General features: G+C 35.4%; 1 protein-coding gene across 3 annotated transcripts in view; it reads left to right on the top strand.

Moving 5' to 3' along the window:
- USP9Y (ubiquitin specific peptidase 9 Y-linked) overlaps positions 1-14,959 on the top strand; it is a 159,609-nt gene that overhangs the window by 131,961 nt on the left and 12,689 nt on the right. For all 3 annotated transcript variants that reach the window (NM_004654.4, XM_047442772.1, XM_047442771.1), the window contains 9 exons: positions 497-670; positions 4,720-4,861; positions 6,673-7,423; positions 7,819-7,942; positions 9,049-9,274; positions 9,873-10,002; positions 13,142-13,327; positions 13,742-13,962; positions 14,048-14,136. In NM_004654.4, the coding sequence (NP_004645.2) occupies positions 497-670; positions 4,720-4,861; positions 6,673-7,423; positions 7,819-7,942; positions 9,049-9,274; positions 9,873-10,002; positions 13,142-13,327; positions 13,742-13,962; positions 14,048-14,136 (2,043 nt within the window). The remainder of the gene's footprint in view (positions 1-496; positions 671-4,719; positions 4,862-6,672; positions 7,424-7,818; positions 7,943-9,048; positions 9,275-9,872; positions 10,003-13,141; positions 13,328-13,741; positions 13,963-14,047; positions 14,137-14,959) is intronic.

Genomic DNA, 14,959 nt, shown 5'->3' on the forward strand with positions numbered 1-14,959 from the left:
ACCTTTTATGCCTATTTAGATTACTGAAAATATGTTTACTCTAGAACGGGGAAACCTTTCACTTTTCACTTGGAAAAATTGCTTTGATGAACAATGGTAACTAAGTGGTAGGATCTTTTCACTATATCACCAGAAATAAGCAGAATAAAGTTTTAACGCAGTAGTTATAGCATCCACATAAGCATTAGGTTCTTTCTCATGTAAATGTCATTTTTTACTTGAATTGAAAGTGCTTGAATATACTGTGCTTTATGAAGCAAACATTATTCTAAACCTACTATCCAGCTTAGTCACACCATTTATAACTTTTTGACACTGTAGTATCATTATTACTGTAAGCACTTCGATTGTGTTGCATCTGCAAACAATGTGCGTTTCTCCTTTCTATGTGGCTTAAACTCTCAGCTTATGTTTGTCATTGTTATTTTTGTTGTTATAAAATATGGATATTCTAGGCATGTATTACATAACTCATTTTGTTTCCTTTCCTTCTTAGGCTTTGGGGTGAACCTGTTAATCTCCGTGAACAACATGATGCCTTAGAGTTTTTTAATTCTTTGGTGGATAGTTTAGATGAAGCTTTAAAAGCTTTAGGACACCCGGCTATACTAAGTAAAGTCCTAGGAGGCTCCTTTGCTGATCAGAAGATCTGCCAAGGCTGCCCACATAGGTAAGTGCTAATTATGTTTTTAATGTATACTTCGTGTTGTTTTTTTTTTAATAATAGTGTAAATCTTTCATTAGTACTTATATAAAAGCAGAGTGTACCAAAAGCCTAGGACTATGAATGAATTAAATTCATATGCATACTACACTATTCTGATTTTTTTCTTCCCAGGAACATTTGGTTAGTACTTCATTACTTCCTCAATTCATTCTTGTTTGCTTTGTCTTATCCTGTGTCTTAAAATGGCATTTTCCATAAATCTACACTTATTCTTTAAATAGACATTTTCTTTTTATGTTCTAACTAGCAATCAGAATATTTAGATGGAACTTCCAAAGATAATTGGCAAGACTGGAGTAGTAACCCATTATTCATGGTTTCAGTTTCCACCTCATCGTTCACTTTAGAAGGCCGAAGCAGGTGGATCACGAGGTCAGGAGATTGAGACGATCCTGGCCAACATGGTGAAACCCCATCTCTACAAAAATGCAAAAATTAGCTGAGTGTGGTGGCATGTGCCTGTAATCCCAGCTACTCTTCAAAAAAAAAAATTAAGTGGAAGACTCCAGAAATAAACAATTTATAAGTTTTAAACTGTGCCCCATTCTAAATAATGTGATCAAATTTGGGGCTCTCCTGCTTTGTCCTTCTCAGGATGTAAATCATCCCTTTTTCCAGCATATCCATACTGTCTCTGTGCCTGTTATCTACTTAGTTGCTGTCTCAGTTGTCAGATTGATTGTCAAAGATATCACACAACTTAGTTCAAATACCTCTTATTTTACTTAGTAATATTCTGGTAATTCAGATGCGCCAAAGAAAAGGCTAAAAGCGGCTGCTAATCTATTCCTGTGCATCATTTATAAATTAAACATAATCACACTTAAGTATGTATGTTTAGGAAGAAAACAGAATATACATAGTATACAGAGTTCAATGCTATCTGAGGTTTTAGCCATCTCTTGGATTTTGAAACATCTCCGAAGGAAGTAACATTTAAATGACTTAAATTACTCTCAATTCTTACTATTCTTGAGAAGTGTTACATATGCTTGCACATCAAACCACTTAGCAAGATTTGACAAGACAGGAAACAGTAAAAATATCAGTAGCATAAATAAAATATTTATTCTAACTAAACTTGTTATTAGCATCCAAGACTTCTATATTATAAGGCATTGGGGGTTGTTTTGTTTTGTTCTGTTTTTTGAGATAGAGTCTCACTCTGTCACCCAGGTTGGAATGCAAGGACACAATCACAGCTCATTGCAGCCTCAACCTTCCAAGCTCAAGTAGTCCTCTCACCTCAGCTTCCTAAGTAGCTAGCACTGCAGTCACATGCCATAACACCCAGCTAAATTTCGTATTTCTTGTAGAATTAGGGTTTCACCATGTTTCCCAGGCTGGACTCGAACTCCAGGTTCAAGCTTTCCTCCTGCCTCAGCCTCCCAAAGTGCTGGGATTACAGGCATGAGCCACTACACCTTGCCAGAGTATCACTTTTAATTGTAGGATCTTTTAATTATTTTATTCTCTAAGATAGCCTTATACTTCTCTATGGGGTGGTTCCTGATCAAAAGCAACTTGCATAAGTCATTTATAAATGTAATTTCATTTTTGTGACTGTCTTGTTTTTCCTGAATAAATCAAAAGTTTCCAACTGTGAGAAACTGGCCAGTGGTGGTAGCTCACACCTACAATCCCAGCACTTTGGGACACCAGCACTGGCAGATCACTTGATGTCAGGAGTTCAAGACCAGCTTGACCAGTATAGTAAAACCCCATTTCTACTAAAAATACAAAAAACTTATCTGGGCATGGTGGCAGGCTTCTGTAATCCCAGCTACTCAGGAGGCTGAGGCAGTAAAATTGCTTGAAGCCGGGAGGCAGAAGTTGCAGTGAGCTGAGATCGCACCACTATGCTCTAGACTGTGCAAGAGAGTGAGATACTGTTTAGACATTTTGAAAATATTGGTTAGATGAATGGATTTGATGGTTGACGTGCCTGCCCCATCTCATTTTCTGAGTTTGTAGAAAATTACCATAATCTGTGATGCTGACTCAGTCCCACATTATTTACTCTCTACTCCACTTATTTATTTATTTATTTATTTAAGACAGGGTCTCACTATGTTTCCCTGGCTGAAGTATAGTGATTATTCAAAAGTGTGATCATAGCACACAACAGCTTCAAACTCCTGGCCTCAAGTGACCCTCTCCTACATCAGCCTTTTGAGTAGCTGGCACTACAGACAAATGCCACCCCACACCTGGCTCTCTGCTTATGTTTACGACTTTATAGACAAGAACACCAGAGGCATTTAAGCATGATAAGTGTTTGAACTTACACATTAGGAAAGTGTTTATGACAGAAATTGAGGGACACTTAAAAATAAAGTTCATTAATGGTTTAGTATAGGCTTTTTTTAGAGCTTGATTAATTCTTATTTTTACCTCGTCATGAATTACTGTTTAAACAGATAATATGTATCATAGTGTGATAGAACATAAAGAACTTAAGAGGTAAGGCCAAACAAGCTGGTTTTCAAAGCATCATTCCACCTAATAAACTGTATCAAATTATTCTTTTTGACTTCCCTACTCAACCCCATTGTCTTAGCTTTAAAGTAGGGATGGATATGTACCTCTAACAGGGCTTTTATCAAGGTAAAGATGAGCTATAATCTGTGTAAGGAATCTAATACAGTGCCCAGTACAAAATAAGCAACTGATAAAAGATATTACTTATTAATAACATTGTATGATTAATATACTTGACATGATGTGTTAAATACTGCATATGTGTTTTTCATCAAGTTCACAGTTAAGGAAAAGATGTATTCATTATTACTTTTGAAACGGAGTCTTGTTCTGTCTCCCAGACACTCGAGTGCAGTGGTGCAATCTCAGCTCACTGCAACTTCTGCCTCCTGGGTTCAAGTGATTCACCTGCCTCAGCCTCCCAAGTAGCTGGGATTACAGGCATGTGCCACCATACCTGGCTAATTTTTATATATATATATTTTTAGTAGAGATGGGATTTCACCATGATGGGCAAGCTGGTCATGAACTCCTGACTTGTGGCGATCCGCCTGCTTTGGCCTCCCAAAGTGCTGAGATTACAGGCATGAGCCACGGCACCCAGAAGGATAAGATTTAGAAACCAGGCTGGGCACGATGGCTCACACATGTAATCCTAGCATTTGGGGAGGATGAGGCAGAAGGATCACTTGACCCCAGGAGTTGAAGGACAGCATAGTCAAGAGCAAGAACCCATCTCTACAAAAAACAAAACAAAAAACAAAAAAAACTTGCCTGGGCATGTTGGTACCCACTTGTAGGCCTAGCCACTAGGGAGGCTGAGGTGGGAGGATCACCAAAGGCAGCAGTCCCCAACCTTCCAGCACAAGGGACCAGTTTTATGGAAGATCATTTTTTTCACAGACTGAGGATGGGGGGTAGTTTTGGGGTGATTCAGGTGTCTTACATTTACTGTGCCCTTTATTTCTGTTATTATTACATTATAATATATAATGAAATAATTATACATCTCACCATAATGACCATAATGTAGAATCAGTGGGAGCCCTGAGCTTGTTTTCCTGCAGCTATATGGTCCCATCTGGAGGCAGTGGGAGACAGTAACAGATTATCACGCTTTAGATTCTTACAAGGAGTGCACAACCTACATCACTCACATGTGTAGTTCATAGTAGGGTTCTTGCTCTTTTGAGAATCGAATGCTGTCCCTGATCTGACAAGAGATGAAGCTCTGGTGGTAATGCAAGCCATGGGGAGTGGTTTAAATACAGATGAAGCTTCACCAGCTTGCCTACCACTCACTGGCTGCTGTGCAGCCCAGTTCCCAATAGGACACATATCAGTACTGGCTGGGGATCCCTGGCATAAGCCCAGGAGTTCAAGGCTACAGTGAGCTGATTGTGCCACTGCACGCCAGCCTGAGAAAAACCCTGTCTCTAAAAGATTAAAAAAAAAAAAACTAAACCTATAGAATACATTCTTTTAATTTGTTTCATTAATAATATCTTTAGGTATGAATGTGAAGAATCTTTTACAACTTTGAATGTGGATATTAGAAATCATCAAAATCTTCTTGACTCTTTGGAACAGTATATCAAAGGAGATTTATTGGAAGGTGCAAATGCATATCATTGTGAAAAATGTGATAAAAAGGTATTTTTTTTTACTTTTGAAAAATAATGATTGCATTGAACAGAATAGGAGGACATTGGAGTTGTTTATGCTCATCTTCAAAATTAACTTCTGCTTTATCTCTGCTGTTACAGTGGTAGCAGAGAGGTGGTCAACATGATAACTGGTTTAAAGCAAAATAACATTGAGAAAATACAGTGCGTGGCAGACTAGGAAAAACAGAACATTTTTATTGGGTGAATAATTTTGAAAGTCATAGAATCTTACAAGTTTTTCCATCTCTGCCCTGAAATCAATTGCAATTGAATGCTTCAATCTTGAAGAGTTGGTAGTAGAAAACATTATTTTCTTACTCTAGTTTCCTCTTGAAGTAGGGAAGCTTGCTAATTTTATTGGGTTACATCAGATTTTCACAACCACGTGTAGTTTCACTAACAGATCTCATTTTTTTGAATTTTTTTTTTATTTCAGACGGAGTCTTGCACTGTCATCCAGGTTGGAGTGCAATGGTGTGATCTCGGCTCACTGCAACCTCTGCCTCCTGGTTCAAGCAATTCTCCCACCTCAGCCTCCCAACTAGCTGAGATTACAGGCACCTGCCAGCACGCCAGGCTAATTTTTTGTGTTTTTAGTAGAGGCAGGGTTTCACTATGTTGGCCAGGCTTGTCCTGAACTCCTGACCTCATGATCTGTCTGCCTTGGCCTCCCAAAGTGCTGGGAATACAGGCGTGAGCCACTGCACCCAGCCCAGATTTCATTTTTTGGGCCTAGCCAGCTAATTTTTATCTCTGGCACTTAGTTTGGGAGATGGAATGATAACATGTCTTTTAAGATATTATATATTAAAAAATGTATGTGTTTTCCTTGACCTTCAAAACCCCTCACCTTCAAGCTGCCTACATGGTTTTGAACTTATGCACCACTTAGATTGTGGTTTGTTTATAAAGCCATACTGCCTGTTACCCACACTTCTGACAGTTGGGACTATTTCTTCTCACCCTTTCTGCTACTCTTAATCCACATGTTTTAAAATAATTATACATAGGTAGTACCTTTTTATAAGACAGTGAGGATTAAATTCATTAATATGTGTGCAGCACTTAGTGTATTACCTGGTTTTTAAGTGCTATAAATATTAGCTGCTATTAAAATTGCTTATCATATGTCTTCAGTTTACTCACAGCAAATTCTGTTCATTAGCATAAAAGAAAACATCAGAGGAGTAACACAGTCAAGTAATAGTGGCCATATGGAACTACATAGCCATCAGTGTCTTTATCAGTAATGTTTTCCAGTTTGCAAGAAATGAAGGACCTTTCATATCCACAGCTTCTGCAAACACCATTTCCTCTAAACATGTATGAAAAATATTTGAAAACAAAAAATAACAGTACTACCATAAAAAGTAATATAAATTCAAAAGCCATTACAGTGTAATAACCATCTACATAGCATACTTAATACATTGTATTAAGTAGGTTATGTAGAGATGGTTTAAACTATACAGGAGGATGTCTGTAGATGATATGTAAATACTGCTCCATTTTAAATCAGAAACTTGAGCAGACACAGATTTTGATATTTATGGGGGTCCTAGAGCCAGTCCCCTACAGATACCAAAGGATGAGTATATTTATATATTTTTAGCTTTGGTAAGTAAGGATTCTTTAAGTCAGTTATGACATAATTACCCTGATGGTATTTATTTTTATTTACTCATCTGCTTATAAATAAATTTAAATAGACTGTAAACTTTAAAATTAACATGAAATTGTTTTAGTTTCTGTTCTAGTTACAAGAGAACATTTGTTTATATTCTCTGTTTATTATAGGTTGACACAGTAAAGCGCCTGCTAATTAAAAAATTGCCTCGGGTTCTTGCTATCCAACTCAAACGATTTGACTATGACTGGGAAAGAGAATGTGCAATTAAATTCAATGATTATTTTGAATTTCCTCGAGAGCTGGATATGGGACCTTACACAGTAGCAGGTGTTGCAAACCTGGAAAGGGATAATGTAAACTCAGAAAATGAGTTGATTGAACAGAAAGAGCAGTCTGACAATGAAACTGCAGGAGGCACAAAGTACAGACTTGTAGGAGTGCTTGTACACAGTGGTCAAGCAAGCGGTGGGCATTATTATTCTTACATCATTCAAAGGAATGGTAAAGATGATCAGACAGATCACTGGTATAAATTTGATGATGGAGATGTAACAGAATGCAAAATGGATGATGATGAAGAAATGAAAAATCAGTGTTTTGGTGGAGAGTACATGGGAGAAGTATTTGATCACATGATGAAGCGCATGTCATATAGGCGACAGAAGAGGTGGTGGAATGCTTACATACTTTTTTATGAACAAATGGATATGATAGATGAAGATGATGAGATGATAAGATACATATCAGAGCTAACTATTGCAAGACCCCATCAGATCATTATGTCACCAGCCATTGAGAGAAGTGTACGGAAACAAAATGTGAAATTTATGCATAACCGATTGCAATATAGTTTAGAGTATTTTCAGTTTGTGAAAAAACTGCTTACATGTAATGGTGTTTATTTAAACCCTGCTCCAGGTAAGCTTTGAAAGTAGCTTCTTCTAATAAAGAATAGTTTTTATTTGGCTTCTAGGATACCTTACAGGGCATCAAATGTGTTTCACCTTTTTCTTCAGTTTTCTTTTATTTTTTCATAGAATCTTTAACCTCATTTTATATGAATGTGTTGGCTTTTTTGGTATAGTTATTTTAAAATGAAAAAATTATGATATCTGTACCTTTGAACAGTGATTCTTAATATATGGAAATATAGAAAAGCATTTGTTGTAGTAATTACTATTTTTTACTCAAGAATTAGTTTGAAATATGGGTTAGGGAAGGGGTAAGATAATCACTAAGAATAACTAAGATTTTTTAACATAGAGTTTGAAGATAAAAATGTTTTTAACCATATATATACTTTTTATTTAAAGGGCAGGATTATTTGTTGCCTGAAGCAGAAGAAATTACTATGATTAGTATTCAGCTTGCTGCTAGATTCCTCTTTACCACTGGATTTCACACCAAGAAAATAGTTCGTGGTCCTGCCAGTGACTGGTACATGGTTTTGGATTTCATTCTTATAGTACTTATAGTTGTTTGGTTCTTTATTTTTTCCTGTTTTATTTTTTCCTAACCATGAAAATATCATTTCAAATTTAAAATATAGAATAAAAATCTTGGCAGTAGTCATGAGATAAATTAAATGTGCCTTTATTTAAAAACTGGCTCCTAGTCCTGTGAATTTGTATCATATCTGAGTCTATTTCATCATTTAATTATTTTATTTTTACTAGATGAAATTCTCACTTATAGTTAAAAAGGTAGATGATTTTTAGGTCAGGTGTGGTGGCTTATACCTGTAATCCCAACACTTCAAGAGGCCAAGGTGGCAGGACTTGAGGCCAGGAATTTAAGACCAGCTTGGGCAACATAGTGAAACCTCGTCTCAACAAAAAGTTAAATTACCTCAGTGTGGTGACTCACACCTGTAGTCCTAGCACTTTAGGATCCACCTAATCCACCACAGGCTGGGATGGGTAGATCACTTTAGGCCTGGAGTTTGAGGCTAGCCTAGGCAACATAGCAAGATATCTTGTATACAAAAAAAAAAAAAATTAAAATAATTAGCTAGTAGCTTGTTCACGTAGAGCCAGCTACTTGGGAGGCTGAGGCAGTAGTATCATTTGAGCCCAGGAGTTTGAAGCTGAAGTTAGCTGTAATTGCACCACTACATTTATTTCAGCTTGGTCAGTAGAGACTCTGCCTCTTTAAAAATTAAAAAAAGACAATTTTAAAATAGCTGTATAGTTTTAAGTTACTATTAATTATAAAAGTACGGAATACATTATAATGCCTTGATTTAACAACTCTTAGCATTGCTCACGTTGAAAGATATTAAAGAAATGTTACTTCACTGGGGAGAGTTTGATCATGGATTTGCAGAGAGCTACATATATTTCGTATTTCATTCCTTTTTTTGACTCTGTGGGACTAAAGTCACACAGCTTTATCAATCTGATATTTGTACTAAAACCAACTGACCGTTAATTGGAGAGAACATCTCAGATCGTTGTTTGGTTCATAAAAATCTGTTTCTTCCATGTACCAAGCAAAATAAACACATCACTAAAATTTGACGTTCATAGATGTTTCTGTTTTAGGTATGATGCACTGTGCGTTCTTCTCCGTCACAGCAAAAATGTACGTTTTTGGTTTACTCATAATGTCCTTTTTAATGTATCAAATCGCTTCTCTGAATACCTTCTGGAGTGCCCTAGTGCAGAAGTGAGGGGTGCATTTGCAAAACTTATAGTGTTTATTGCACACTTTTCCTTGCAAGATGGGTCTTGTCCTTCTCCTTTTGCATCTCCAGGACCTTCTAGTCAGGTAATTGCATGGCTTTTTTTTTTTTTTAAGCAATTAAATACTTAGAAGTAAATTCTGTTTCTGCAAATTCATATTAGCAAATTTATGTTCCTCTCTTTGATGTATTCACCATAAACAAATTCATACGTATGTTATGACACTTGTGAGTTCGTAAAATTATTTCATGGTAATAGTGATTGCTGGGCATTCTGAAAAAGAAGGGAAATTCCTTTTGTGTATTCAATTATTTAGTTATTTAGTAAATCCTTAAGTTTGACATTTTTAAGATTTATTTTTATAATGGCTAAAGGCTTTTCAGTGAAACACTGTAACATGAAATTGACATTAGTGATAATGTAAATAAATAATCCACTTAAATTCTTCTGTTGAAGTTGCCAGGGCTTTTTGTTTGTTTGTTTGTTTGTTTTACAGTTACAGTAACATACAAGATCTACAATGAAGTCTAGCCGAGCTCTTCATTCTCTCTCTCAAAGAGCAACTATATTTAATAATTTTCTTTCTGAAAGATTTGCTCCGTATAGGAACATAACCTTTTGTATGCAAATAAAAGCTGTTTCTGCATCTTGATGCTGATAAAATAATATTTCATTTTTCACAGGCATGTGATAACTTGAGCTTGAGTGACCACTTACTAAGAGCCACACTAAATCTCTTGAGAAGGGAAGTTTCAGAGCATGGACATCATTTACAGCAATATTTTAATTTGTTTGTAATGTATGCCAATTTAGGTAAGAATTTTTCACAACTATATTAATGATTGTTTCAATTTCAAATATTAAATGGGAAGCACATTTTAATCAAGTGATTACATGTAATTTGTTCTGAAGTAGAAGCAATATACCATATTCATATTCTTAAAATGCATTGCAAATTTTCTGTGTAACTTTAATGGCATTTCTCATATTATATGGTAATTTATGCACTTGTTTTATTTCTCTGGTAATCTTTAAGATCACATACTTTGTCTGATTGATGTTATCTCTTAACATTGCTTTTTGAAAAATACTGGCTTCCTGGTCATACCCCACACTATCTGAATCAGAATTCCTAGGGCTTGGATAAGGAATCCATATTTCTAAAGGACCCCAAGTGCTTGTGTTGCTTATCAGGTTTAAGAATTATTTCTTTAAAGAATTTGACATGTACATATGTTTTATTAAAATAAACTAAATTGAAATTAATAATAATGCAAATTTATAATCCACTTTAATTCTTCTGTTGATATTAATATTAACATCAATTAAGAAATGTGATTTTCAGTATATCTTTCTTAAGGTAGCCTGCTTTTTCTCACATCAACCTATTTATTTCTTCTTTTGAGTGCCTCTAGAATGCTTACCCAAAAAATTCTGTTTGGCTTATTCCATTGTGTTTTGATGGTTTTTAAAATATTTGCCTTACTCCCCAGCTAGGTAGCAGAATTCTTGCAATGAGTGGGGATTGCATAGAACAACTCAGTCATTGTTGAATGCATGGATAGATTGCCAGGAATCCACATCAAAAATCATTATAGTGTTTTCAATGTTGTTTTATGTTGTTTTTATTGTGTGGAAAGAAGAGTAAATTTATTACAGATGTAGTTATCCAATTTGAATATCAGCAATTCAGGTGTTAGTACAACAATATTTCAAAATTAATAATTTATTGATATAATTAAAATTTATTGACTAGTTAAAATTTTAGTGTTAGTAATAAGTATTTGATCACATTTTTTGAAGATTTGACTAAATTAGCACATACACTTTTATATCTATGATATTTGTGATTTTTAAAAGTTAAATTTTATAACTGTGTATCTATATTACACTTTTATATCTGTGGTATTTGTGATTTTTAAAAGTTATTCAGCTAACTTTTAAAAATCACAAATATCTTACTACCTAAAGTTAAGTTCTGTAGTCATGCATTCTTCTAATGAAAGTGTTATATGTGTTATTAATCTTTAACTTGAGCAGGAAGAACATTTTATCAGTTATTCTTCCTTCTCTGATCATCTCTGTGTTTTCTCTTTCTCTGCCTTGCCTGACTACATATGAGATTCCTGGATACTTGTAATAGAGTAAGAAGCAGATATTACACAAACATAAATGAAGTCACTTTTATATTTTAAATATAAAAGTATTAAGTTTATGCATTCACAAAAATCCTATTTTATACTATTTTATTTTAGATATTGGCTGCTCATATACAACACATTGATGGTTTATAATACAACTTAATGATAATTTTCCCTGCCAAGAATTAGTGTAGATTTATGACTCTTAAGTCATTAGGGCAGTATGTTTTAGGTTTTAGAAGTTTTTGGATTTCAGAAAAATGAGACAATGCGTTTGCCACACGTCGTGTGAGATTCCCAGTAAGGCCTCAGGCAGTACCCTACAATCAAACATGCTAATATTTCTGTGATGAATAATTAATATTTCCTTTAAGGGTGGAAGAAGCAGCTTGCCAGGAGAAAGGGGTTGGTTAGGATTTTTTAAACAGAGTGGTTGGTGCATGCAGGCTTAGTATTGACATAACTTTGCTTCTTAGACACAGTGTGAGGTATTCAGTGTGACTTTATACAGTGAAGAATACAGAATAGCAGGACTGATTTCCAGGATTCTCTAATTATGCTACTCTGATTTTGTAAAGTGTTCTGGACATTATCAGGAGGGCATGAATGGACCACTAGAGGATCACAAGAAGCTTAACTTAAAAACATCACACTGTCTATAACGTAGAATGGCTTACGATAGACCAAGATAAGAAAGTATTAAAAATTATCAATAGAAAAAAATTGCGGCTGCTTTATATTAGGGAAACTGGCAGTATGGAAGACAGGTATGAACAGATGCAGGAGCTCTTTATGAGTTAGAATCAGCAGGAGTTGGTAATTTGATATTTGAGAAAGCGGAGCAGGAAAGAGATGTTAAGCCTACATCCAGCATGTGACTTGATGAACTGAGAAAATAGTAGTGCCATTTTCTGATAGAGGAAAAAGGAGTTGTGTGAGCAGATTGCATTTTAAAAACATATGGGATACCTATATAAAGAAATCCAGTAGTGGGATACATATGTCCAGAATTTGGAATCATCTAAAATCATTTGGATACATCTATTACTATAGATGTAGTTACAAAAAACAAGCCACGTAAGGGAATGTCCTAGAATGGAAACTTTTTCTAGAACAGTTTTTATGGCTCATTTTATTTAGTTTCTGTCTTACTTTGTTTTATTTTTATTTATCTATTTTATTTTTCTGAGATAGTGTCTCGCTTAGTCGCCCAGGCTGGAGTGCAGTGGCACAGTCTCCTCTCACTGCAACGTCCGCCTCCTGGATTCAAGCAATTCTCCTGCCTCAGCCTCCCAAGAAGCTCGGATTACAGGCACCAACCACCACATCCCAGCTAATTTTTGTATTTATAGTAGAGATGGGGTTTCACCATGTTGAAAAGGCTGGTCTCGAACTCCAGACCTCAGGTGATCCACCCGCCTTGGCCTTGCAAAGTGCTGGGATTACAGGTGTAAGCCACTATTCCCAGCTAGTTTCTGTCTTACTTTCTTATGATGAAAGTTATTCTTTAGCTAGGGCCTTCCAGCTTCTCTAGGCCCTAGAAAGTATACATTTCCCTTAGTACCTAGGCTAATTGGAATGCCATAGTCATGATCATTATTTCAGGGTTACGGTACTGTATCTTATTTAATTATATCAGTGTATTTTCTGTTCTGTCAGCATTCTGCCTGTATTGTTTCTATTCTAAGCAAAGAGAATGAGCTTTTAGTAATATAACTTACAAAGAGCTATAATAATTAATTTTTAATTATTGCAGTACTTACCCTCTTAGTTTTTTTTTCTACATATTATTTTTCTGTCCTTTTTTATAGGTGTGGCAGAAAAAACACAGCTTCTGAAATTGAATGTACCTGCTACCTTTATGCTTGTGTCTTTAGACGAAGGACCAGGTCCTCCAATCAAATATCAGTATGCTGAATTAGGCAAGTTATATTCAGTAGTGTCTCAGCTGATTCGTTGTTGCAATGTGTCATCAACAATGCAGTCTTCAATCAATGGTAAAGTAGCATGTTCCATTTCTTTTACAGCAGTTTAAAAATAATGCTAGCTTTATGTAGCACTTGATAAAAAGTAGCTCTGAAGATTTATAAAAATGAAATTAGTCTGAAGGCCTATGTTCTAGAATATTATATTTCTTAAGTTTTAGCTTTTTCATATGTTTAATAGGGAGTTTATTTTTTAAATGTAGGATACTGTGATATCTTATGAAATGCTTAGTGTAAAAATGATAAACTTTGTCTTTAGTGTCAGCATTTATATTTTGCATTTTATCATCTTGGTATATACCTGACCATTTAGGTGAATTTTTAATTTAATTTAAAATCAGATTGTATTTTTTAAGTTAAGAAGTTTATTATTATAATTTTGTGAGGAATTCTATTGGTTTTTCATTGATAACAAATCTGTTCTAGGTAATCCCCCTCTCCCCAATCCTTTCGGTGACCTTAATTTATCACAGCCTATAATGCCAATTCAGCAGAATGTGTTAGACATTTTATTTGTGAGAACAAGTTATGTGAAGAAAATTATTGAAGACTGCAGTAACTCAGAGGATACCATCAAATTACTTCGCTTTTGCTCTTGGGAGAATCCTCAGTTCTCATCTACTGTCCTCAGCGAACTTCTCTGGCAGGTGAAAGAAAAATAAACATTTATATATCTGTAATTCTATTCATTTTTTAAAAATACATAATTCACTATCTCTTACCTATTTGTAGGTTGCATATTCATATACCTATGAACTTCGGCCATATTTAGATCTACTTTTCCAAATTTTACTGATTGAGGACTCCTGGCAGACTCACAGGTGAATACCCTTTTGCCACCAGAATAATTAGAATTTCCCAAGTTCTTGAAATGACTGGAATTGTCATTTGCCATACACATTTTTTATCTTTGATACTCCGCTTAATGTTGTCTTTAAAAACATATGAAGAAAAATTGCCACTTACTTGCATTCTTTTTTTTTTTAATTATACTTTCAGTTCTAGGGTACATCTGCACAACATGCAGGTTTGATACATAGGTATACATGTGCCATGTTGGTTTACTGCACCCATCAACTTGACACTTACATTAGCTATTTCTCCTAATGCTATTCCACCCCCGCCCCCACCCCCCGACAGGCCCTGGTGTGTGATGTTCCCCGCCCTGTGTCCAAGTGATCTCATTGCTCAATTCCCACTTATGAGTGAGAACATGCAGTGTTTGGTTTTTTGTCCTTGTGACAGTCTCCTCAGAATGATAGTTTCCAGCTTCATCCATGTGCCTGCAAAGGACATGAACTCATACTTTTTTATGGCTTCACAATATTCCATGGTGTGTATGTGCCACATTTTCTTTATCCAGCCTGTCATTGATGGATACTTGGGTTGGTTCCAAGTCTTTGCTCTTGTGAATAGTGCCTCAGTAAACAAACATGTGCATGTGTCTTTATAGTAGCATGATTTATAATCCTTTGGGTATATACGCAGTAATGGGATCAGTTGGTCAAATGGTATTTCTAGTTCTAGATCCTTGAGGAATTGCCACAGTCTTCTACAATGGTTGAACTAATTTACACTCTCAACAACAGTGTAAAACCGTTCCTATTCCTCCACAACCTCACCAGCATCTGTTGTTTATTGACA

Source organism: Homo sapiens, chromosome Y (assembly GCF_000001405.40).
Source record: "Homo sapiens chromosome Y, GRCh38.p14 Primary Assembly".
Taxonomy (NCBI): domain Eukaryota; kingdom Metazoa; phylum Chordata; class Mammalia; order Primates; family Hominidae; genus Homo; species Homo sapiens.